This window comes from Homo sapiens, chromosome 10, assembly GCF_000001405.40.
Source record: "Homo sapiens chromosome 10, GRCh38.p14 Primary Assembly".
Taxonomy (NCBI): Eukaryota; Metazoa; Chordata; class Mammalia; order Primates; family Hominidae; genus Homo; species Homo sapiens.
Genome location: NC_000010.11, coordinates 35,219,889 through 35,245,596, shown reverse-complemented (window position 1 = coordinate 35,245,596; position 25,708 = coordinate 35,219,889). Strand labels below are relative to the sequence as shown.

The 25,708-nt window shown below is 43.4% G+C and overlaps 1 long non-coding RNA gene and 1 pseudogene across 3 annotated transcripts, besides 1 other annotated feature; both read left to right on the top strand.

Moving 5' to 3' along the window:
* The first annotated feature begins 917 nt into the window (after positions 1 to 917).
* On the top strand, positions 918 to 25,708 carry LINC02634 (long intergenic non-protein coding RNA 2634). 3 transcript variants are annotated; one of them, XR_930818.3, is made up of 4 exons: positions 918 to 982; positions 7,046 to 7,170; positions 15,110 to 15,171; positions 25,497 to 25,708. It is a non-coding gene; the product is annotated as a long intergenic non-protein coding RNA 2634 (long non-coding RNA). The 3 variants fall into 3 exon arrangements; XR_930819.3 differs by lacking the exon at positions 15,110 to 15,171; XR_007062111.1 differs by lacking the exons at positions 918 to 982; positions 7,046 to 7,170 and having other exon boundaries at positions 14,606 to 15,171.
* RNU6-794P (RNA, U6 small nuclear 794, pseudogene) lies at positions 14,203 to 14,266 on the top strand (annotated as a pseudogene).
* Positions 16,437 to 16,937: an enhancer, noted in NCBI's record as "H3K27ac hESC enhancer chr10:35517588-35518088 (GRCh37/hg19 assembly coordinates)". NCBI's record gives its function as "activates a minimal SCP1, AML or CMV promoter by ChIP-STARR-seq in naive H9 embryonic stem cells {active_cell/tissue: H9 hESC(naive)}" and the evidence as "EXISTENCE:reporter gene assay evidence [ECO:0000049][PMID:30033119]".

The window sequence follows — 25,708 nt, the reverse complement described above, 5'->3', positions numbered from 1 at the left end:
TCCCAGGTTCAAGCGATTCTCCTGCCTCAGCCTCCCAAGTCGCTGGGATTACAGGCACCCGCCACCACGCCTGGCTAACATTTTGTATTTTTTTTCAGTAGAGACGGGGTTTCACTATGCTGGCCAGGCTAGTGTTGAACGCCTGACCTCATGATCCACCTGCCTCACCCTCCCAAATTGCTGGGATTACAGGCGTGAGCCACTGCATCCGGCTGAAAATTTCACCATATTTGTTAGAAGTCTTAGTTTTTTAAACAACAAAATTAAGTATGACAATACTTACATAATTGAGAATCAATGAATGTCTTTCTGAAATAGATAGATGCCTGCCTCCTTGTACAGTGAAAAAACAACATAACTTTTTTCATGGCATCTCCAGAACACCACTGAAAGCATCGTGATTGAATATCGTAATAATCTAGTACTAATTTTGCTTCTTGGAATTCTTGTCTCTCAGTAGTAGATTGCCAGATGATACTTTGTCCTGTTGTTTTACCTGCTAACACCTCCTAATGTCCTGCTGCTCCTCGGCACCACACCTAGAAACCAGATCACCAAACTTAGGAGTTAGAAACATGCTCGTGCATGGTGGGAGAAAATGTAAAATGGTGCAGCCATTATGGAAAACAGTATGGAAGGTCTTCAAAAAGTTAAAAATGGAATTACCACATGATTCAGCAATGACACCCCTGGATATAAAACCCCCCACCCATCAAAAAAATTGAAAGGAAGATCTTCAGCATTTGAACATCTATTTTCATATAACATTATTCACAATAGCCAAAAGATGGACACAGCCCAAGTGTCTATCAATGGACGAATGGATAAAGAAAAGGTGATATATCCATGCAGTGGAATATTACTCAGCCTTGAAAAGGAAGGAAATTCTGACATGCCACATGGATGAACCTTGAGAATACTATGCTATGTGAAATAAGCCAGTCACAAAAGGACACATGCTGTGTAATTACACTGATATGAGGTACCTCGAGTTCTCTATCTTCATAGAGATAGAAAGTAGAAGGTGGTTTCTGGGGACTGAAGGGAGGAAAAGTGGAGCATTGTTGTTTAATGGGTATAGAGATTCAGTATTGCAAGACAAACTAAACTGTACACTTAAAAATGGTTAAGATGTTGGCTGGGCGCGGTAGCTCACACCTGTAATCCCAGCACTTTGGGAGGTCAAGGTGGGTGGATCGCTTGAGCTCGGGAGTTCAAGACTAGCCTGGCCAACATAGCAAAACCCCGTCTCTACTAAAAATACAAAAATTAGCCGGGCATAGTAGCATGTGCATGTAGTCCCAGCTACTTGGGGGGCTGAGGTGGGAGGATCACTTGAACTCGGGAAGTGGAGACTGGTAAGCTGAGATTGCCCCACTGCACTGCAGTCTGGGTGACCGTGAGACCTTGTCTCAAAAAACAAATAAACAAACGAAAAAACAACAAAAAAATGTTAAATTTTAAGATGTTAAATTTTATGCTATGTGTATATTGCCACAATTAAACATAAATTTTGAAAAATGAGTTAGCATGCATTAATTCATTCAAAAAACATTTATTTTGCATTTATTATATATCAGACTCTGTTCTTGGTGGCAGGGATGAAGGGCTGAACAAAACAAAGTTTTGGCTTTCATAGAACTTGCATCCTAGTATATAGTATATAATAGCAGACATAGTTTTGCTGTCCACCCAATCAAGTGCATCATTTCAGGTTATTGGTTTTCATAAAATAAATGTATTACCCAGAAAATCTGCAACTTGACCTATTTCAATGATGAATATATCTGAAGTTTAAATATCTTAATTCTAAAAGAGCATAATGATTACAATGTTTTAAGTCAGGCCAGGCATGGTGGCTCACAACTGTAATCCCAGTGCTTTGAGAGGCTAAGGCAGGAAGGTTGCTTGAGCCCAGGAGTTGGAGGGTACAGTAAGCTATGATCATGTCACTGCACTCCAGCCTGGGTGACAGAGCGAGACTCTGTCTCTAAACAATAACAAATAAATTTTAAATATTGATCTATCTCTAATATCTTTGGATGTGGTTTTGTTGTTGTTGTTGCTTGTTTGTTTTGAGACAGAGTCTCGCTCTGTCACCCAGGCTGGGGTGCAGTGACGCAATCTTGGCTCACTGCAGCTTCTGCCTCCCAGGTTCAAGTGATTCTCTTGTCTCAGTCTCCTGAGTAGCTGGGATTACAGGCATGCACCACCATGCCCGGCTAATTTTTTTTTTTTCTGAGATGGAGTTTCGCTCTGTCGCCCAGGCTGGAGTGCAGTGGCGCGATCTCGGCTCACTGCAAGCTCTGCCTCCCAGGTTCATGCCATTCTCCTGCCTCAGCCTCCCAAGTAGCTGGGACTACAGGCGCCCGCCACCACGCCTAACTAATTGTTTTTGTATTTTTGGTAGAGACGGGGTTTAACCGTGTTAGCCAGGATGGTCTCGATCTCCTGACCTCGTGATCCACCTGTCTTAGCCTCCCAAAGTGCAGGGATTACAGGATTGAGCCACCGTGCCCGGCCAATTTTTGAATTTTTAGTAGAGACGGGGTTTCATCTGTTGGCCAGGCTGGTCTCGAACTCCTGGCCTCAAGTGACCCACCTCCCAAAGTGCTGAGATTACAGGCGTGAGCCACCTCTCCCAGCCTGCAATGACCTAATTTTTAACAATGGATGATCACATGAAAATTATTTTAGAACAATTTGTTTACCAGTTAGACTGCTGGTTAAATCATCTTCTACTATAGTTACTTCAGGCACTGAGGAATATTTTCCATTGTTTTTTTTTTCTGATGTTTGTGGAGGGTTAGAGTGGCCCCAAAGGATGACCTCCAGATAATAGGGACATGGCATATATTCTAATCAAGAATGTGAGTGCTAAGAGGTTAGGAATTATTTTTCTTTGCTTGGATTTGAATAACTACTGGCTAAACATTAGACATAGGAAAGTACTTGAGGCCGGGCATGGTGGCATGCACTTGTGGTACCACCTACTCAGGAGGCTGAGGCAGGAGAATTGCTTGAGGCCAGGAGTTTGAGACAACATAGCCAGGCCCTGTTTCTAAAAAACATTTTTTTTAATTAGCAGGAGCTAGGTGTGGTGGCTCATACTTGTAATCCTAGCAGTGTGGGAGGCTGAGGTGGGAGGACTGCTTAATCCCAGGAGTTCAAGATCAGCCAGAGCAACAAAGTGGGACCCTGTCTCTACCAAAAAAAAAAAAAAAAAATAGCCAAGTGTGCTGGCATGTGCCTGTAGTTCCAGCTACTCAGGAGACTGAGATGGGTGGACCACTTGAGTCTGGTAGGTTGAGGCTGCAATGCACTATGATCATGCCTGTGAATAGCCACTGCACCCCAGCCTGGGTGACAAAGCAAGACCTTGTCTCAAAAAGAAAAAAAAAAGAAAAGAAATTAGCAGAGAGCTACTGGGGAGGCTCAGGTGGGAGGGGGTCACTTTCAGCCCAGGAGTTAGAGCCCACAGTGTGCTATGATCACATCTGTGAATAGCCACTGCACTACAGCCTGGACAACATATCAAGACCCCATCTCTCTTAAAAAAAAAAAAAGGTACTTGATGAAGCCAGATTGGCTGTGACACTGAATAACATTGTAAGGGTCATTATTGGGATATTAAATACATAATATGCTTGGGTCCCCCGACATGTATATGACCTTTCCTTATTCTGTTGGCATCACGCATCTGCCTCATGCAGGATTATAATTTTTGTGTCAAGAAGGCAAGGCCAGGCACGGTGGCTCACGCCTGTAATCCCAACCCTTTGGGAGGCCAAGGCCGGTGGATCACCTGAGGTCAGAAGTTCAAGACCAGCCTGGCCAACATAGTGAAACCCCATCTCTACTAAAAATACAAAAAATTAGCCAGGTGTGGTGGCGCACACCTGTAGTCCCAGCTACTCAGGAGGCTGAGGCACAAGATCGTGCCACTGCACTCCAGCCTGGGAGACAGAGTGAGACTCTGTCAAAGAAAAAAAAAAAGGCAAAGAGAAAGAGTAAATGTTCAATTTTTGCAGTCTAGTCTTTGCTTTTGAAATTTTCTGAGACCACAGACTTGCAAAATAGGCTTTTGAAGAGATAGGGTTTTCTAAATTCCAAGTGTTCCCTCTTTATTTGAATTAAATAATTCATTAAAATTATTATTTTTTAAATGAAACAGGGTCTTTGTCACCCAGGCTGGGGTGCAGTGGTGCATAGTTCACTGCAGCCTCCAACTCTTGGGCTCAAGTGATCCTCCTGCCTCAGCCTCCTGAGTAGTTGGGACTACCAGCATGAAACACCATGCCCAGCTAATGTGTTTTTTGTAGAGATGTTGCACAGCCTGGCATTGAACTTGTGGCCTCAAGGATCCTCCTGCCTTGGCCTCCCAAAATGCTGGGACTACGGGTATGAGCCACCACACTCGGCCCCAAATGCTGTCTTTTTTTTTTTTTTTTTTTTTTTTTTTTTTTGAGATGGACTGTCACTCTCTTGCCCAGGCTGGAGTATGGTGGCATGATCTCGGCTCACTGCAACCTCTGTCTCCCAGGTTCAAGCAATTCTCTTGCCTCAGCCTCCTGAGTAGCTGAGATTAAAGGTGCGCACCATCACGCCCGGCTAATTTTTGTATTTTTACTGGAGACGGGGTTTCATCATGTTGACCAAGCTGGTCTCGAACTCCTGGCCTCAAGTGATCTGCCCACCTCTGCCACCCAAAGTGCTAGGATTACAGGTGTGAGCCACCGTGCCCGGCCTCTCCCTCTTTATATTTTGAGACAAACCTGGCTGGGTCATAGATTGTTATAATGGCATCATTTTGTTGTTGTTGTTGTTGTTTGAGACGGAGTCTTGCTCTGTCGCCAGGCTAGAGTGCAGTGGCAAAAACTCGGCTCACTGTAACCTTCGCCTCCCTAGTTAAAGCAATTCTCCTGCCTCAGCCTCCTGAGTAACTGGGACTACAGGCGCCCACCACCACACCCGGCTAATTTTTTTTGTATTTTTTTTAGTAGAGACGGGGTTTCACCATGTTAGCCAGGATGGTCTCAATCTCCTGACCTCGTGATCCGCCCGCCTCAGCCTCCCAAAGTGCTGGGATTACAGGCGTGAGCCACCGCGCCCGGTCATGTCTACGAAAAATACTAAAAGTCACTACTAAAAACAGAAGAAATTAGCCAGGGGTGGTGGTGCGAGCTTGTAATCCCAGCTACTCTGGAGGCTCAGGCAGAAGAATCGCTTGAACCCGGGAGGTGGAGGTTGCAGTGAGCCGAGATCGCGCCATTGCACTCCAGCCTGGGCGACAGAGCAAGACTCCATCAAAAAAAAAAAAAAAAAAAAAGAAAAGGAAAAAGAGAGAAATTCTCTGGATTTAGGATGTCATTTCGGTTTCTTTATCAATTTGGCTCCCTCTAGAGGTCAGTTAGCAAATTTTAGTCAGCGCGACTTAAACACCTTGGCCCTCTTAAAACAGTAATTTCTCCTAGGAAGGTTTTGGAGAAAATGATTGAAATTGATTAATAGAGTCTATTTTTTAGCAAACATTATATTTAATTTTTTTGTTTAAAATTACTAAGGCTGCCAGATTTAGCAAATAAAAATACAGGACACCCAGTAATATTTACAGTTCAGATTTAAAAATTAATTTTTTAACCTAAGAATGTCCCAAATACATTAATCCAGCAACTCTGTATATCTGTATATAGAGACATACACTATATATACAGTGTTTTACTCCTCATTTGTTAAGTGAGGATTCTGAGGATCAAAACATCCAACTCCAGCCTCTCATTTTCCCAACATTCCCATGGCTTGTTCTTGTTATTTCATTCTAAGTTTTCTTCTAAGTTCTCAAAAGAAATCAGATCATAGGTCTGGTCAGATAACTTGATTTTAAGCTCCAAAGGACCTGAGATATTGAAGGAAACCAAAATATTTCACCCCAAAATATCCTTTGTTGACATATTTTGAGATAGCTCTTCAGAGAGCTAAGCAGCCCTGCAAAGCTGTCTTTTGCGTTGAGCTTTTTGCATCTGTAGAGCAAATCTGCATCCCTGCAGCCAGGCTTTCTGAGGTCCTCCCTGGTCCAGATCTAGGAAAGATGAACTGAGAGTCTGACATCTCTCAAGATCTGAAAGGAATATTTCCCACCTCTTCTCTCTGAGGGCTGCTACCCGTGAGGTTTCAGCTGCATAACAAGACCACCTTTGCTAGCCAGGCGTCCTTTTCTCTCCCATCCATAATCTGTCTTGCCACTGTCACCTGACTTACCACCATAAACTTTTTGGGGCCATGCTCGGAGCCCCCATTTTTTCTGTAATCTCAAAATGGTAGAGGCTGGGTGTGGTGGCTCACGCCTGTAATCCCAGCACTTTGGGAGGCCGAGGCGGGCGGATCACAAGGTCAGGAGATCGAGACCATCCTGGCTAACACAGTGAAACCCTGTCTCTACTAAAAAAAATACAAAAAATTAGCAGGGCGTGGTGGCAGGTGCCTGTAGTCCCAGCTACTTGGGAGGCTGAGGCAGGAGAATGGCATGAACTTGGGAGGCGGAGTTTGCAGTGAGCCGAGATCCTGCCACTGCACTCCAGCCTGGGCAACAGAGCGAGACTCCGTCTCAAAAAAAAAAGGTAGAAAAGTCTGGGCCTGGTGGCTCACACCTGTAATCCCAACACTTTGGGAGGCCCAGGTGGGTGGATCACTTGAGGTCAGGAGTTCAAGACCAGCCTGGCCAACATGGCCAAACCCCATATCTACTAAAAATCCAAAAAATTAGCCGGGTGTGGTGGTGGGGTATTCCCAGCTACTCTGGAGGCTGAGGCATGAGAATCACTTGAACCTGGGAGGTGGAGGTTTCAGTGAGCCGAGATGGCACCACTGCACTCTAGCCTGGGCAACAGAGCGAGACTCTGTCTCAAAAAAAAAAAAAAAAAAGGCAGAAAAGCTTCTGTGCTTCACTGGGAAGCTGGGGTGATCGTTCTGTGATTTTCCCCTATGCATGTTAATAGATTTGCAAGCTTTGTCTCTTAATAATCTGCCTTTGTCTGTTGATGTTCAGCAAACCTTTGGGAAGGTTTCCCTTGGCCCCTACAGTGTTGGCGTCACAGACAGGATCCTAAAGCTGCTCTACTTTTCTGGAAGCCACAGTCCAGGGAACCCAGGACCTGACAAAGCATCAGAAGGGTAAGAAATTCCTACCAGCCAGGCTTCCGGCCTCTCTCCGTGAAATCCGGTCAAGCAGACAGCAGAAATCACTGTTTGTCTCTTTTCCCTTGCCTAAAATCTTGATTAATTGGAGAAAAGGATTTGTGTGACTAGTCTTGGGTTACGTAGCGATTCTGGTATATTTTTAGGCATGAATATTGGTATTGTCTGATCCTTTTTCTCTCAGTCTTTTCCCTTGTATTTTGGTATTGATCTGTCATAAAGAGGGGTGCCCTAGGGTAGAACATGGATCTAGAACCCCCAGAAGCCCACTGTGCCAGCTGGCTCTGCAGTTTTTTTGTTGTTGTCATTGTTTTTTTTTAGATAGAGTCTCGCTCTGTCACCCAGGCTGGGGTGCAGTGGTGTGATCTCAGCCCACTGCAACCTCCGCTTCCCAGGTTCAAGCGATTCTCTTGCATCAGCCTCCTGAGTAGCTGGAATTACAGGCACGCGCCACTGCGCCCGGCCAATGAGTCCTATTTATAAGGTGCTTTTGTTGTCTCAACCCCTGCTGCCTGGTTAGTCCTGGGAAAGTCCAATCCCAGGAGAGCCTGCCTCGTGTCACAGATTAATAGGTGTATGACTGGTGGCCCCCCATAAATGTGTGGGATACTAGAAGCACTGTATGTAAAAACGCCATCTTTTATCATCTGTGGCAACAAGAGTCTTTTGCTGCCTTAGTCTATTCCTGGGAGTGAATTTGTGAGGATGGGGATCGTTGAGGCTGCCTGTTCTATGCCCTCTCCAAGAAGCACCTCTTGTTTATTGGTAAAAACTTCATTGAAACCTGGAAAATAACCTCCTGGGCATTCCATGAAGAGGCTTATTAGATTGAGTTGCTATTTGCATAAGTACATCTCGGGAAATTCTTTTTTTTTTTTTGAGACAGAGTCTCACTCTGGCACCCAGGCTAGAGTGCAGTGGCTCAATCTCGGCCCCCTGCAACCTCCGCCTCCCGGGTTCAAGCAATTCTCCTGTCTCAGCCTCCCAAGTAACTGGGATTACAGAGGCAAGCCACCATACCCAGCTAATTTTTGTATTTTTAGTAGAGACAGGGTTTCACCATGTTGGCAGGCTGGTCTTGAATTCCTGACCTCAAGTGATCCCCCCCCAACCCGGCCTCCCAAAGTGCTGGGATTACAGGCTTGAGCCACCATGCCTGGCCACATCTCAGGAAATTCTAATCATCAGTGGCCAAAAGATTGATTCTTTAAGTTACAAAGGCCCCCTAAACTAAAACTATTTTAGAGACCTCTCATTCCAAACAAGTGCCTTATTTGTGTTTAGGGAAAGATCAAATTAAAAGAAAGGCACTAATAGTATCATGGCTAGCCTTAGACATTTTCCTAACAAAAGTTTCAGAACAAAAATCTGACGGAAAACAAAGTTAAAATCCTTTGTACGCTTAAACTGCCTGCTTTGGAGTCCCTGCAGGATTTGTAGTGGCGGCCACTCCACCTTGTGGCCTAGGAGTTAAAATTCTGTGCTTTCACCACTGTGGACTGGATTTGATTCCCAATTAGGGAGCCACTTCCTTTTGGTTAAAAGGTTCAAAGCCCAAAAATATTGGCTGTTTTTCCTGGTTGAAATCTGATAATTAGAGATTATTATCTCTTATTATTATCTCAGTAAGGGCTTCAGCTATGTGAGACAGATAAACTTTAATCTGTTCCATTTACAGAGACACAGTTTAATCCACCTGTCCTTTTAAACTAGTGAGTTTTACCAGTCTCATGGCTATGATTTTGAAATCAAAGCTGTAAGACCTTTATTTATGTTATTTATGTCTGCATGTTTTTTGTTTGTTTGTTTTGTTTTGTTTTGAGACGGAGTTTCGCTCTTGTTGCCCAGGCTGGAGTGCAATGGTGGGATCTCAGCTCACCGCAACCTCCGCCTGCCGAGTTCAAGCGATTCTCCTGCCTCAGCCTCCTGAGTAGCTGGGATTACAGGCGCCCACCACCACGCCCAGCTAATTTTGTATTTTTAGTAGAGATGGGGTTTCTCCATGTTGATCAGGCTGGTCTTGAACTCCTGACCTCAGGTGATCCACCAGCCTCGGCCTCCCAAAGTGCTGGGATTACAGGCATGAGTCACCACGCCCAGCCGTCTGCATGTATTTTTATATACACATGTCTGCTTGTATATTATCTACATGGTACCAAATTGACTTATAAATAAATTAGCATTTATAAATTAATAATCCCAAATGCTTTTCAAATTCATGCAACATCTTTGGTAAATAAAACCAGTTTTAATATTGTTGATACAATAAAATAAAAACATTGTCTGAATGTAATTTAGACATTTTGTCTGAGTCTATTGGTTTAGATGGGTTTATACTGTCTCTGTGATATGTTTTAAGATTGTAAAACTGTTAACAGCTTCTGCAATTTTTCTTGTTGTTGTTACTGTTTTTGAAACATGGTCCTGCTCTGTTGCCCAGGCTGGAACACAGCAGCACGATCATGGCTCACTACAGCCTTGGCCTCCCAGGCTCAAGTTATCCTCCCACTTCAGCCTCCCAAGTAGCTGGAACTACAGGTGCATGCCTCCATACCTGCCTAATTTTTTTTTACTTTTTGAAGGGATGGCGTCTCCTTATGTTGCCCCGGATGATCTTGAACTCCTGGGCTCAAGAGATCCTCCTGCCTCAGCCTCCCAAAGTGCTAGGAGATATTTTTGAAACTTGCTTGATTTGTCTGTGACTTTATGACTTAGGTTTTGAGCCATTTGATTCTGGAGTCTACACAGTGGCCATGGTGAGGCCTGGGGACCCACGTGTGTCTGCAGTGCCTGGGCCCATCTTCCCTGGGCCAGCAGGATTTCCTGGCCATTCTGGGAAGGGTTGGATCCTCTGGGTATTGTCTTTACAGCTCTGGCCTCTGTCCTGGGCTCTGCCCCCGATACATAACAATTAAAATAGCTTACTCCCTAGGTTTTTCACTGAAAAATAGGGCTACTAAGTGTTAAAATTATAGTTAATATATAACTGAAACAACTAGAACTGAGAGAAACACTTCTGTATACAGAGTATGTAAGAAAAGTATGTGTTTTTGGTGAGGAGGGTGATAGGAAAGGCATGAGAATGCAGTTTTTGCTACAGGAAAAGTAATTTTGTCTAGTTTAGATGAATAGATATGGAAAGTTGGGGGGAAAAAGAATGAGAAAACTTGTAAGAGGTTATAAAAGGTAAACAGAAATCTTACTTTGTGTGGTCAAAGTTGATTGAAATTGGATGCATCTATTTATAAGGCTTTGTTGAAATTGGCCTAACTATTAATAACACACTAATGCAGCATAATATGGTGGCTCACGTCTGTAATCCCAGCACTCTGTGAGGCCAAGCTGGGGAGATCACTTGAGTCCAAGAGTTCGAGACCAGCCTAGGCAACATGGAAAAACCCTGTATCTACTAAAAATACAAACATTTGCTGGGCATGGTGGTGCACCTCTGTAATCCCAGCTACTTGAGAGGCTGAGGCAGGAGGATCACTTGAACCTGGGAGGTGAAGGTTGCAGTGAGCTGAGATCGCGCCGCTGCTCTCCAGCCTGAGCAACAGAGCAAAACTCTGTCTCAAAAACAAAACAAAACAAAATGCTAATGCAAAAGTAGAAGTTGGTTTTCTCTTTTGAATGAGATTTTCGTGTAGTATTAATAAAAGCAAAAGATTTTGTTTACCTTTGAGACCAACTGTAAAAAAGGGGAGAAGGAGAGACAGATTCTGTTGGTCTTAGCTATCGTCATTAGGTCTTTTGATTGTTTGAAAAACAGAATGTCTCTCTATCAAAGAGTAAAGGTTTTTACTTTTTGAAATCTGAATTATCACTTTAGCTGAATGAATGACTATTACTTTGCAGTGACCTGTGCTCCTATTTTGATCAAGTGTTTTAAACCTTTCTTATTGGATAAACTACCCAAAGTCAAATTTTAAATTCTAAAATTGTCCTTTTAACCTCAAACTAACTTTTAGAGGTTCCAAAAAGGACCCCTGGGAGTCCAAGAGAGATGTGTTAGGCTTATTTACTATGTAAATAATTATATGGGAAGCATTGTTAAATGAGAAATGGTATTTAACCTTCTTTGAGTTACATTTATATAAATGTATTATCAACAGGTGTTCCAAAATTGTGAGATTCCTAAAATTCTTATATGTCTCAGTATTTGTTTTCAGTCATAAATATCATTATTACGTCAATTTTTGTTTGTTTGTTTTTTGTTGTTTTTTTGTTTGTTTTGAGACGGAGTCTCGGTCTTTCGCCCAGGCCAGACTGCAGTGGCGCTATCTCGGCTCACTGCAAGCTCCGCCTCCGGGGTTCATGCCATTCTCCTGCCTCAGCCTCCCGAGTAGCTGGGACTACAGGCGCCAGCCACCACGCCTGGCTAATTTTTTTGTATTTTTAGTAGAGACGGGGTTTCACCGTGTTAGCCAAGATGGTCTTGATCTCCTGACCTCGTGCTCCACCCGCCTCAGCCTCCCAAAGTGCTGGGATTACAGGCGTGAGCCACGGCTCCCGGCCTTTTATTTTTGTTTTTAAGAGACAGAGTCTCACTCTGTCACACAGGCCAAAGTGCAGTGGTGTGATTCTTGCCCAGACTGGTCTTGAACTCCTGGCCTCAAAGGATCTACCTGCTTCAGCCTCCCAAAATGTTGGGATTACTGGCGTGAGCCACTGTGCTTGGCCGATGATTATGTTTTTTGTTTCTTTGTTTTTGAGGTGGGAGTCTCACTCTGTCGCCCAGGCTAGAGTACAGTGGCGCCATCTCGGCTCACTGCAACCTCCGCCTCCCTGGTTCAAGCGATTCTCCTGCCTCAGCCTCCCAAGTAGCTGGAATTACAGGTGCCCACCACCAAGCCTGGCTAATTTTTGTATTTTTAGTAGAGATGGGGGTTTCACCATGTTGGCCAAGCTGGTCTTGAACTCCTGACCTCAGGTGATCCACCCACCTCGGCCTCCCAAAGTGCTGGGATTACAGGCAGAAGCCACTGCACCCGGCCCGTATTATATGAAACTGTAGTATGCTGCAGCACTGTGGAGGCCTGAGTCCCTGATCACAATGGGTGAGGAAAAGAAGAGCCTCTACTGAAGCAGTTCTCAGCTCTGTCAGGGTGTCTTAGTCCATTTTCTGTTGCTTATAACAGAATACCTGCAACTGGGAAATTTCTGAAGGAAAGGAATTTACTTCTTACAGTGTAGGCTGAGAAGTCCAAGGTCAAGGGTCAGCATCTGGTAGAAGCCTTCTTGCTGGTGGAGACTGCGGAGTTGTGAGGGTGTCGCCCAGTGGAAGGGGCTGCGTGTGCTAGCTCAAGGCTCTCTTCCTCTTATAAAGCCACCAGTGCCACTCCCATGATAACCATTAATCCATTAACCCATGAACCCATGAATGGGTTAATCCATTCATAAGAGCAGAGCCCTCATGACCCAATCGCCTCTTAAAGGCCCTGCCCCTCACGACTGCCACACTGGGGATTCAGTTCCAACACCTGGCATTTGCCAGACACATTAAACCGTAGCACTGGGTAACAGAATTGTCTGTAGAGCTTTGTAAAAATACATGTTTCCTAGAGTGTCTGATTGAGTAGCCCAGGCTTGAGGCACAAGTCTCTCTGGTTTCACTGCTATACAGAGGTCCTTCCTCCTTCCCGTTCATGTGTGTTTAGAAATCTAACAGATGATTCCTGACAATACTCATTACTGCTGGTTCCCATCTGAATGTGTTTGGGCATCCTGCCACCAGAACCAGTTGGTGACAACTCTAAATCCATTTAATGTTCTGAATGTGTGGCTCCAGAAATTCCTTCTTAAATCCCTTTCGCTTCTCTGCCTCAGGGGCTGTCATTACTGCAATATTTTGTGGCAAGTTCCAAAGACAGATAAAAAGGCCTATCTTCAGTTCCTGTCCTGCCTTCCCTATAAAGTATCTGATTTCTGAATTTTTCTTTTTTTTAAAGTGAGAGGGTCTCACTCTGTTGCCCAGACTGGAGTACAGTGGTGCAATCATAGCTCACTGTGACCTTGAACTTCTGGGCTCAAGTGATTCTCCTGACTCAGCCTCCCGAGTAGCTGGGACCACAGGCACATGGCACAATGCTTCGCTAATTTTTTTTTTGAGATGGAGTTTCGCTCTTGTTGCCCAGGCTGGAGTGCAGTGGTGAGATCTCGGCTCACTGCTACCTCCACCTCCCGGGTTCAAGCAATTCTCCTGTCTCAGCCTCCCCCATTACAGGCAGGCACCACCATGCCTGGCTAATTTTGTATTTTTAGTAGAGATGGGGCTTCTCCATGTTGGTCAGGCTGGTCTTGAACTCCCGACCTCAGGTGATCCACCCACCTTGGCGTCCCAAAGTGCTGGGATTACAGGGGTGAGCCACTGTGCCTAGCCTGCCTGGCTAATTTTTTTTTTAATAGAGATAGCATCTTGCTACGTTGCCCAGGCAAGTCTCAAACTCCTGGCCTCAAGTGATCCTCCCACTTCGGCCTCCCAAATCTCTGGGACTACAGGTGTGAGCCACTGTGCCTGGCCTCTGGTGTCTTCTTACCTCAAATAGGAGCTTTGTGATTGCCTGATAGCCAGGCTCATAGTAGGACCACAGGCTCCAGAAGTTCCCATTCCATGGGAAAAGCAGAATAGGGTCTTAATCAATCTATATGTGACTGTCAAGGATCCCTCACCCTCCCACGAAAGTTGCCAATTTCTCTTTTTAAATTAGTGCATATTCTAGACCTCGGTGGTAAAATGGGGAGAGACTCCAATGAGGTACCTCCTCAAAATTCACAACAAAATAGAGAAGTGGTTTAAAAGCAGCAAAATAATGCAGTAGCAATTACAAAAGGTACTTGTGGACAGGGCATGGAGGGATTGGTCTTACTTATATTATAATCTTTAAAAATTCCCATCAAGAGTAAGAGTGATGTGGGAGAGTCCCATTATCCTCTTGACCAAGCAGGTTCTAGGTGCTCCTGACTCATCCCATTCCCACTCCCAGCAGCAGTATAAGGGGAACAGATGTCGTACTCACCTCAGCAGCACATATACTAAAATTGGAATAATACAGAGAAGATTAGCGTGGCCCCTTTAAAAATCTTTAATAAAAAGGCCGGCATGGTGGCTCATACCTGTAATCCCAGCACTTTGGGAGGCCGAGGCAGGCAGATCACTTGAGGTCAGGAGTTCAAGATCAGCCTGGCCAACATGGTGAAACACCGTCTCTACTAAAAATACACAAAAATTAGCTGGGTGTGGTGGCGCGCGGCTGTAGTCCCAGCTACTCGGGAGGCTGAGACAGGAGCATCGTTTGAACCCGGGAGGCGGAGGTTGCAGTGAGCCAAGATCTCACCACTGTACTCCAGCCTGGGTGACAGAGCAAGACCTTATCTCAAATTAAATAAATAAATAAATAAATAAATAATTTTAAAAAAGGAACGGAGGTGGGGGAGAGCAGGGAATTCCTTAAGAATCACCCTAATATACCCAACAAGAAAGTGGTGGGCCAAACAGGACATAGGAATCCAAGGATGAGTTTTGCATAAGAACAGAAATCGCGGCCTTCCACTTGCCATTTTATTTCCTGTCTCCCGGTTGGGAGGAAAGCTGGAGAAAGTGGTTCCAGTTTTTGGCGTCTGTGGAGATAATCGTATTTTTCCTTCTTAACAAATGAATATGAGTTATATTCATAGATTTCTTAACATTTTTGCATTAAAAATTTTTTTGAGTTTTTGTGTTCCTGAGATGAATCTCACTTAGTTGATCTATATTACTATTTTAATGTACTTTTAAATTATCTTTATGAATATTTTATTGAGAATTTTGGCTCTCATATTTAAAAATGAAATTGTCTGTAATACTTTCCCACTCTCCGGCACCTGAGTCCATGGCTTTGGCAGCCATAGTGATCATGAACTTCCGGCTATGTCCTAGAGTCATTTATCTCCGAGGATGTCAGGAGGAACCCCAAAATGTCATCAAGACACTGGCTACAGGTAGGCCCTTTGTTTCTGCCACTGCTCCTACTCCCTCTATTTGGCCCTAAGTTTCTGCCATCAGAGTTGGCATGCCTCACATTCACACTCTGTGAGCTGTGAACAAGTAGGTTCCCAGGGAAGTCTTTATCACACAGCAAATCCCACCTCAAACTTCCACCTCCCACAAAAAGGAACCCTGGAGTTAGGAAATTCTCTCCTCTCTAATGCACAGGAGTTTTCAATTTCCTCAAGCCTGGGGGCGGCCAATACTCAGGCTCTAGGGAAGCAGCTTCCACCCCAAGCACACAAATAGATTTTCCCAACAGAAACAGGTGTTTTGTTGTTGTTTGTTTTTTTGTTGTCGTTTTGTTTTGTTTTTCTGTCAAAAGTATTCTGGTGCCAGCTATAAAGAAAATATAAACTTTCCCGCCTTATAATAGTAGCTACAAAATAAATGTATGTGTTTTCAATGATTTTTAAGGAGATATTATATTAATATTTGGGTATATTTTATCTACAGAAGGTATTGTACTTGGTGTTGTCAACCCTTTACTTAATAATTTTTTAAAAACTACAGATAGGTTGTGTGTGGTGGCTCAAACCTGTAATCCCAGTACTTTGGGAGACTGAGGCAGGAGGATCACTTGAGGCCAGGAATTCAAGACCAGCCTGGCCAACACAGCAAGATCCCATCTCTACAAAAAAATTTAAAAATTAAAAAAAAACTATAGAGAAATTATAAAATGCATGCTCTATTACTTCATGGGTGGTGGTGGAGTCTGCAATCTGCAGTCTTGTGAATAAACATCCCCCAACTGACATTCAAAATATGGGACCAAAGGTAAAATTGAATCACTAAAATCATAGTACAGGTCTGCTTAGGTCAGACCCCACAATATGGAAGCTGTGTCAGTTAGCAGTTGGCATTCCCCCAGGAGTAACAGAAACCCCACGAGAGTGGCTTGAATACAAGAGTTTATTCTCATATAACAGCCCTGACATAGGGAGGCCTTTCAGGAGCCAGTATGGTGGCTTCACATAAAAGCCACACTGGAGTCCTTACGATGCTGTTTCTGCCTCTCCATCCTCAGAGTGTGACCTGTCATCAAGGTCAGCTTGTAGTTTAGGATGGCACGGATCCTCCTCAGCCATCATGTTTGCAAGCTAGGCAGCAGAGAGGGCAAAAGTGAGCAGAACTGGCTTTTTTTTTTTTGGAGACAGTCTCACTCCTTTGCCCAGGCTGGAGTGCAGTGGCACGGTCTTGACTCACTGCAGCCTCTAACTCCTGGGCTCAAGGGATCCTCCCACTTCAGCCTCTGGAGTAGCTGGAACCACAGGCACCTGCCACCATGCCCGGCTAATTTTTGTATTTTTAGTAGAGAAGGGGTTTTGCCATGTTGCCCAGGCTGGTCTCAAACTCCTGGCCTCAAGCAATCCACACACCTCGTTCTCTCAAAGTGCTGGGATTACAGGCGTGAGCCATCAAACCTGGCCTATAGTGTTATTTTATGAGGGTAAAACTGACACGAATGATATAACTCTTAGATCAGTTTACAGTTTTTTTCTTATGGGAAACACAGTCCAACATTGATCCTTTGGATCCATGTAGCTATAATTCATGCATTCGAACTGCTGAATAGCATTCCTTTGTATAATAAGCCACAGTTATCCCTTCCTTACTGAAGGACACTCAGGTTGTTTCCAGTATTTTCTTTTTCTTTTTCTTTTTTTTTTTTGAGACGGAGTTTTGCTCTTGTCGCCCTGGCTGGAGTGCAGTGTTGAAATCTCTGCTCACTGTAGCCTCTGCCTCCTGGGTTCAAGCGATTCTCCAGCCTTGCCTCCTGAGTAGCTGAGATTACAGGCATGCGTCACCATGCCCAGCTAATTTTGTATTTTTAGTAGTATTTTTAGTAATTTTGTATTTTTAGTGGCCAGGCTGGTCTCAAACTCCTGATCTCAGGTGATCCACCGGCCTCATCTTCCCAAAGTGCTGGGATTATAGGCACCTGGCTAAAATTTTCTATTATAAACATTGTTGCAATAAACAATCTCCTTGTACCTGCCTCCTTGAGAGTCTCTCAGATATACATCTAGGAGCTCTCCCAAGATACATGCCTCTTCAAGGTTGATAGGTAGCAACCAATTTCTCTATAAAGATGCAATTTGCATTCCAACCAGTAGTATATGAGTCCCCATTCCTCCCTATCCTCCCAACACTAGGTGGTATTAAAAATTTTCCCCCATCTGCTGAATATGAAATAATTAGTTTTAATCTTCATTTCCTTAATACAAGAAAGATTCAGCATATTTTCCTGTTTATTCATTGCTTTTTCCCTTTTGTAAACATTCAGTTTTCGCCCATATTGCATGTGGATTGCTGTATTTTTCCTTATTAATTTATGTTAGTTCTTTTTTTTTTTTGAGATGGAGTCTCGCTCTGTCGCCCAGGCTGGAGTGCAGTGGCGCGATCTCAGCTCACTGCAAGCTCCACCTCCCGGGTTCACGCCATTCTCCTGCCTCAGCCTCCCGAGTGACTGGGACTACAGGCGCCCGCCACTGCGCCCGGCTAATTTTTTGTATTTTTAGTAGAGACGGGGTTTCACCGTGGTCTCGATCTCCCGACCTCGTGATCCGCCTGCCTGGGCCTCCCAAAGTGCTGGGATTACAGGTGTGAGCCACCGCACCCGGCCAATTTATGTTAGTTCTTAAGGCCGGGCGCGGTGGCTCACACCTATAATCCCAGCACTTTGAGAGGCCGTGGTGGACAGATCACTTGAGGTCAGGAGTTCGAGACCAGCCTGGCCAACATGGTGAAACCCTGTCTCTACTAAAAATAAAAATAAAAAAATTGCCAGGCATGGTGGCGGGTGCCTTTAGTCTCAGCTACTGGGGACGCTGAGGCATGAGAATTGCTTGAACCTGGGAGGTGGATGTTGCAGCGAGCTAAGATTGCACCACTGCACTCCAGTCCGGGCAACAGAGTAAGACCCTGTCTCAAAAAAAAAAAAAAAAATGCTAGTTCTCGTTATTTCTAGATAATAATCCTCTGCCAGTTTTATGTGATGAAAATATCTTCTAGTCTGTGGCTTGTCTCTTACCCTTGTTATGGTGTTATCTGTCATACAGCAGTTTTCTTTTTTAACATACTCGATCTCTACCTGACTTTTCTGTACTGTTTGAGCATTTCAATAATTTTTCAACAAATCCTAATCCTGATATAGACATTCTTCTAATTTTCTTCAAAAGTTTTAATGTTTGATTGACAGAATGTATTTTTATTTTTTATTTATTTATTTTTGAGGCGGACTCTCACTCTGTCGCCCAGGATGGAGTACAGTGGTGTGATCTCGGCTCACTGCAACTTCTGCCTCCTGGTTTCAAGCGATTCTCCTGCCTCAGCCTCCTGCGTAGCTGGGATTACAGACACACACCACAACGTTCAGCTGATTTTTGTATTTGTAGAGACGGGGTTTCACCATGTTGGCCAGACTAATCTCAAACTCCTGACCTCAAGTAATCCACCCACCAAAGCCTCCCAAAGTGCTAGGATTATAGGTGTGAGCCACTGGGCCTGGCCAGAATGTATTTTATTAATGAGGTATTTTATTAAATGAGGTATCGTGTGCATAAGCATTATCCAGCACCGTTTATTGAAGGGTCTATTCTTTTCCTCCTGGTTTGTAATGCCAGCTCTAGACATACCATACTCAGCGTAGTGGTTATCACTCCTTTCTGTTTCATTAGTCTCACACTCTGCATCAGTTCCATATTACTCAAATCACAATAGTTTTCTAGAAAGTCTTGAAAGCTGCAAGGCAAGTTTCTCTCCTTATTCTTCTAAGTCACTTGACTGTTTTTTACTGTGTTAGTCTCCTGTTGCTGTTATAACAAATTACCACCAATTTAGGGGCTGAAAACAACACAAGTTTATTCTCTTACAGTTCTGGAGGTCTGTGTTCCTCCTGGAGGCTCTTAGGAAGCCATGGCCCCGTCTTTTCCAGCTTCTAGAAGCTGCCTACATTTCTGGGCTCGTGGCTCCTTCCCCCTGCTGCAAGGCAGCAGTGCAGCATCTTCTGGTCTCTCTCCGCTCCTCTGGTCACATAGCCTCTTTCTCACTCTGACCATCCCACTTCCCTCCTAGAAGGACCCTAGTGATTGGCCTACACAATAATCCGGGATAATCTCCTCATCTCAAGTCTCTTAATTTAATCACATCTGAAAAGTCTCTTTTGCTATTGTAATGTATCCACAGGTCCAGCCTTTAAGAGGTGGACATTTTCATGGGAGCCATTATTCAGTCACCACACTGGCCTTTTACAATTCACTGTGAGTTTTGAGATGTTTGCTGGGTTCTATGGAAAAAGAAGCCCTGTTAGGGTGTTGATTGGAGTGGTATTGAATTTATAGATTGATTTGAGAATTGACATCTCTAGAATGCTGAGCTTTTCCATTTATAACATGGTTTCTCTATTTAGGCCTTCTTTTGTGCCCTTTAGTAAAGATTTATAATTTTTTCCGTAAAATTGTTGTATAGCCTTTGTTATGTTTATTCCTAGGTGCTGTGTATATGTTTTGCTGTTATGAATAGGATTTTTTACTATTACAATTTCTACTTGTTTTTTGTAGGTATATAGGAATACTATTAAATTTTAATTTACATATTTATCTTTTATTTAGCAACCTTAGTGAATTTTATTTTTCTAACATTTTGTCTGCAGATTCTTTTGAATTTTGTATATGGACATTTTAATCTGTAAATAATGACAACTTAGTTTTTTGTTTTGTTTTTCTTATCTTGTTGCACTAGCTAGGGACTTCATTACAATACTGAATCATGCTTCTAACTATACTAATAAGTAAGCTGGTTGTACACTATCAAGTTTTGGGAGTTCCTATCTGTATTAGTCTGTTCTCACACTGCTATAAAGAAATACCTGAGACTGAGTAATTTATAAACGGAAGAGGTTTAATTGACTCATACATGGCTGGGGAGGACTCAGGAAACTTAACAATCATGGCGGAAGGCAAAAAGGAAGCAAGCACCGTCTTCACAAGGCAACAGGAAAGGGCGTGTGTGAAGGAGAAATTGTCAAACACTTACAAAACCATCAGATCTCTTGAGAACTCCTCACTATCATGAGAACAGCATGGGGGAACCACCCCCATGATTCAATCATCTCCCACCAAGTCCTTCCCTCGACATGTGGGGATTATGGGGATTACAATGCAAGCTGAGATTTGGGTGGGGACACAGCCAAACCACATCACCATCTATTCTTGGTTTGCCAAGAAGTTTATCTTGTAAACGTTTTGACAACAAGAAAGGGTGTTGAACCATAGCTAATGATTTTCTGCATCAAGTGAAATATGTTTTCTTTCTCTTTTTGTATGTTAATCTGTTGATGTGTATTCCTAGGATACCCCTAGTTGATCATACTGTAATATTTTTAATATATAGCTGGATTTAATTTAGTAACATTTTATTTAGATCTTTTGTATATTAGTTTATCAATTAGATTAGCATATACATTTTCTTTTATAATGGACTTTCCTAATTTTACTACAAATGTTATACAAATCTCATAAAATTAGTTAGGTTTCTTTTACTATTTTCTGTAACTGTTTTTTTTTTTTCTAAGATAGGAATCCATACCTTGAAATCTGATAACACTTGCTTGTAAAGCTGAATGACCCTGGTGTTATTTTGTATAATTAATTTTTGTGAATGGTTATACTGTTCACGGTTTCTCTTTTCCCTTGAGTTGGCTTGGAAATTTATGATTTTCTAGAAAAATGGCCCAACTTGTCTAAGTTTTGTCACTGATCGGCATAAAGTTGCTGCCAGAGAGCGGGCTCTGAGATGGACTTGGCATGCACACAAGGTTTCATAGGGATGCTCTTGGGAGGGCAAGAGTCCACGAGTGGGTGAAGGGAGAAACAGCTCCTGTGCTGGCCAAATGACCACCTCATCTGACCCCACAGGGAGCTCAGGAGCTAGACCGACCCTAGGTGTGGTCTGGTGGGGCCACCTGGGTCCATTGCTGGATACAGACCCTTGAGCATCAGGTGAGGCAGCACCCAAAGGGACTGAATTGAAGGCTGTGGGCTGACAGCACTCCCAGCAGCTAAGGGCAAGATCCTGTATGCAGAGGAGCGGGGGTTGTCCCAGTCTTCCCCACAACCACCCCTGCCCGCCAGCTGCTCACATACATTAAGAGAGCAGCTCCTTGGAGGTTCTGGGGAGTGTGGGGGCGCCTCCTCCTGGGGATTTCTTTTTCTTTTTCTTTTTTTAGAGACAGGATCCCACTCTGTCACCCAGGCTGGAATGCAGTGGTGCCATCATAGCTCACTGCAACCTCCAACTCCTGGCCTCAAGGGATCCTCCTGCCTCAGCCTCCCAAGTAGCTGGGACTACAGGTGTATACCACCATACCTAGCCTATGGGAGAATTTAGAAGAGGAAGGTTAATAGAACAAACCACAGCCCTTCCCACCACAGCTGGCCTCAGGCTGCAGTCCACACTCATCGTCTCTTTCCTCTACATCTGTTCCCCATTCATCCATCCCTCAGCCAGCACATCTGCTGTTCTCAGCTGGGATTGCTGCACTTGAGGTGCCCACATGGATCGCCTGGGTGCCAAACATATACTTCCAGTCTGGAGCAGAAGCCTTTCCTCCTCCTGGTAATGGTGGCCAGTCAGTGCCACCAGGAGGGTGACTCCTCTTCCTGCTGCAAGGTCCCTTGGCACAAGGAGATTGAGTGCCCTGGTGGCACCTCCCCTGGCAGAAGTGTCTTCCTGGGACCAGGCCCTTTAGACCTGCAGAACCCAAACTTACAGAGAATGGGAAATGCCGATTCCTTTCCCAACTGGTCCCTGGGGATGAGACAGGCAGGGCCTCTGGTCCCCAGGCCCATGCATTCTTCCCACTGAGCACTGTGTAAAGGTCTTTAAAGTGCAGCCTGTGTCCTGGAGGATGGCACCTTATGCCCTGAAAGTCCTGCCCTGGAGTGGGCACTTCAGCCATGCCTCTATCAGGTCCACTGTTCTGTGGCTTCACTACGGGATCCTGTGTTCCTGGGCCACTCTCCCACCTCCCTTGCTGTAACGTGGTTCCCAGGCCTGATGTGATGTTATGAGGTATCCCATGCCAGAGGATCAAACATTCTGTCTCTGTCCCTTCCAAGGTGGAAGAGGGTCCCTGTCACTGACTTGCCACCTAGTGGCTGGTTCTTCTCCTCCGAGGATAGTGCCAGTGAAGGGACACAGTACTGGTCTCTGTGGTTGGCAGATTGGATATTCAGTTGCATACATTGCTAGATTAGCTTGGAGAGTAGACGTATTAGTTCCATATTGCTGCATAACAATCCCCAAACTTAGAGGCTTAACACAGCATTTATTATCTCACAGTTTCTGTAAATCAGGAATCCGGCCCTGGCTTAACCGGGTCCTCTAACTAAGGGTCTTTCACAGGCTACAGTCAACATACTGGCCAGGGGCTGGACGCGGCGGCTCACACCTGTAATCTTAGCACTTTGGGAGGCCGAGGTGGGAGGACTGTTTGAAGCCATGAGTTCGAGAATAGCCTGGGCATTATTTTCATTTAAAAATTTAAAAATTAGCCAGGTATGGCAATGGACACCTGTAGTCCCAGCTACTCGGGAGGCTGAGGTGGGAGGATCACTTGAGCCCAGGAGTCTGAGACTGCAATGAGCTATGATTGCACCACTGCACTCCAGCCTGGGCGACAGAGTGAGACCTAGTCTTTAAAAGAAAAACAATAATAATAATAATAAATAAAACCAAAGTATTGGTTAACTATAAATGGGAGTGAACAATCTTACTGGGGTGATGGAAATGTTCTAAATCTGTATTGTGGTGATGATTATACAACTTGGTAAATTTGTTAAAAATCATTGAGTTGTACAGGTAAAATGGGTGAATTTTATGGTGTAAAAGTTATACCTCAGTTAAGTTACACATACACACCACATTAGTTATAATGCTCTGTACAACCACAGAATGTCAGCAAAGACAGCTATGAAGGATTTTTTTCATAAACCAAATTTTCCAATGAAAATGCCACCAACCACTAGATGTAGCTGCCTTTTCACGACAAGAAGGCCTTTGTTCTGGGTCTCAGGGACTTGAAGTTATCAAACGTCAGGAATAAGGAAATATTTTCAAGTATCAGCTTATTCAAATCGATCATGATTGAGCCTATCAAATCATTTTATCCTTGGGTACAATTTATATTCCTGGGGTGATGAGTGCACTAGCATTTCCAGACTTCACCACTATACAATTCATTCATGAAACCAAAAACCACTTATACTCCAAAAGCTATTGAAATAAAAAATATATATTTAAAATCAGTTTATCCATTGTATATACAATTTTAAAACTCACACCATAATAAATTTTAATAAGCAAACTGGAAATGCATTCCTATCAAAACTATTAAAACTATTTTAAATTAGCCTTATACAGGTTATATATTTGTTTTGTTTTGAGACAGAGTATCACTCTGTCACCCAGGCTGGAGTACAACAGTGTGATCTCGGCTCACTGCAACCTCCGCCTCCCAGGTTTAAGCGATTCTTTTGCCTCAGGCTCCTACGTAGCTGGGAATACAGGGAAGCACCACCATGCCTGGCTTACTTTTTGTATTTTTAGTGGAGATGAGGTTTCACCATGTTGGCCAGGCTAGTCTCGAACTTCTGACCTCAATTGATCTACCCGCCCCAGCCTCCCAAATTGCTCAGATTACAGGCATGAGCCACCGTGCCCAGCCTGGTTATATATTTTGGTAAACATTTTTTATAAACTTTGATTTTTATGACATATTTCACATCTACAAAATGTATAATTTTATATTATTTATTTTCCTCCAGCTTTATTAAAGGGTAATTGAAAAAATTTTAAAATGTACTTTAAAATGTACATTTTAAAATATTTTTGTACATTTTAAAAGTACATTTAAAAGTACATTTTAAAAGTACATTTAAAAGTACGTTTTAAAAGTACTTTTAAAATTTTTTCAATTTAATTGTTTTTCTGCTAAGAAAAATATGTGTGAATAAAACCTTTCAAATAACATGGAAAAATCTTCTAAAGAAAATATAGCCTCTCCCTTCATTACTTCAGTTCTTTCAAGAATATTAAAATAATAAACTGGGTTACAGGACAGTAACCCTCCTAATGTACACTGAAAACCACAACCTTTTCTAAGCCAGTGATAATTTCTGTTAACTTGGTGCGGCCCTGTTAGGTTGAGAAGGGCAGAGGAAACTCCTGCGGTGGAAAATTTTCATTCAGTCACAGTTTTGGTGCATTTATAAATAACATAAGTAAAACAAAATTTGCCCAAGTAAAGTCTTCATGTGTGAAAATCTTAATCCAGTTACCAGAATCAAAGTAGATGTCCCTGCCTTCATCACAGGCCAGTTTCAGCCTAAGGCTTTTTTCTCTTAAATGCTGGGCAATCCTCAGAATGGATTATTAAAAATATTGATGTTGAAGACATTCTGAAAGATAATTTTATAGGTTCATGACCTGATACTAAGAATCTAGAAGCTGTGTTCACAGGGATGAGGTAACAAATAAGATCTGATGAACTCTTCTTTGAAATTTACATTTCACTGTGAATTTCATCACAGTGTCACAAATGTCAAGGTCAATGTGGAGAAAACAGAGGTTCCCAATCAAACAGAGGTCAAATGACCTTGCCAAAGCGACACAGGGAGTTTTAACAGAAAAGCTAGGACCAGAACCCAGGTCTGGTGGCTGTCAGCCATGGTTCCTCGAGCCAAGCACACACCCACTGTTCATTCTGCTCTTCACAGCGCCTGTAGCTTTGGACTTTGTTCTTTTGTTTCTGTAGTTCTTTTTATCCAGGATGGATTTTTAAGAACATAGGTAATCACTGCCTGACTCATTTTAAAATGAAAATCATGAAACAGGGGTGTCTGGGATACTAAATGCTCTAGAAGTATTCAAGTAATTGATTGTAGTGAAAATCCCTAAGAAACCACAGCTAATCTCAATGTGCTTTGGTGCGTGAAGTCCATACCAGCTGTGGAAGAGTTCCCATAGATTTTCTGCTAAGCCCCTCCAGCAACTCAGTCTTCTTTCTCTATTGTTACATGGGGTGTTCCCTCTATGAAACCCTCTGCTGGTACTCCAACCTCCCCTCCCTGCCCCACCAAACTGCCACAATCCTGTATTCCTGGAGCAACAGCAACCCAGCATTTAATGATATTAAGTCAGGTTACTTGAATAGAAAGACTAATAGGTTAGGCATGTTATACCCTTGATAAGGTAGATTTGTCTTCTACCCTTCTAGGTCTAAACTCCAATAAAATCCAGCTGGGTTACATCAATTCAGACATCTGGATAAAAGGATGAATGAAACCATGTACATAATACAGAATTATGCATGCCAGGAAAAAAAATTATACTGCCTAAAAGCTGCAACCTTCATGACATCAAATCTATTTTAACACTGGCTGGTTATGTGAGGAAAAGGCTAATAAAAAAAAATTCTGGCTGACCAAA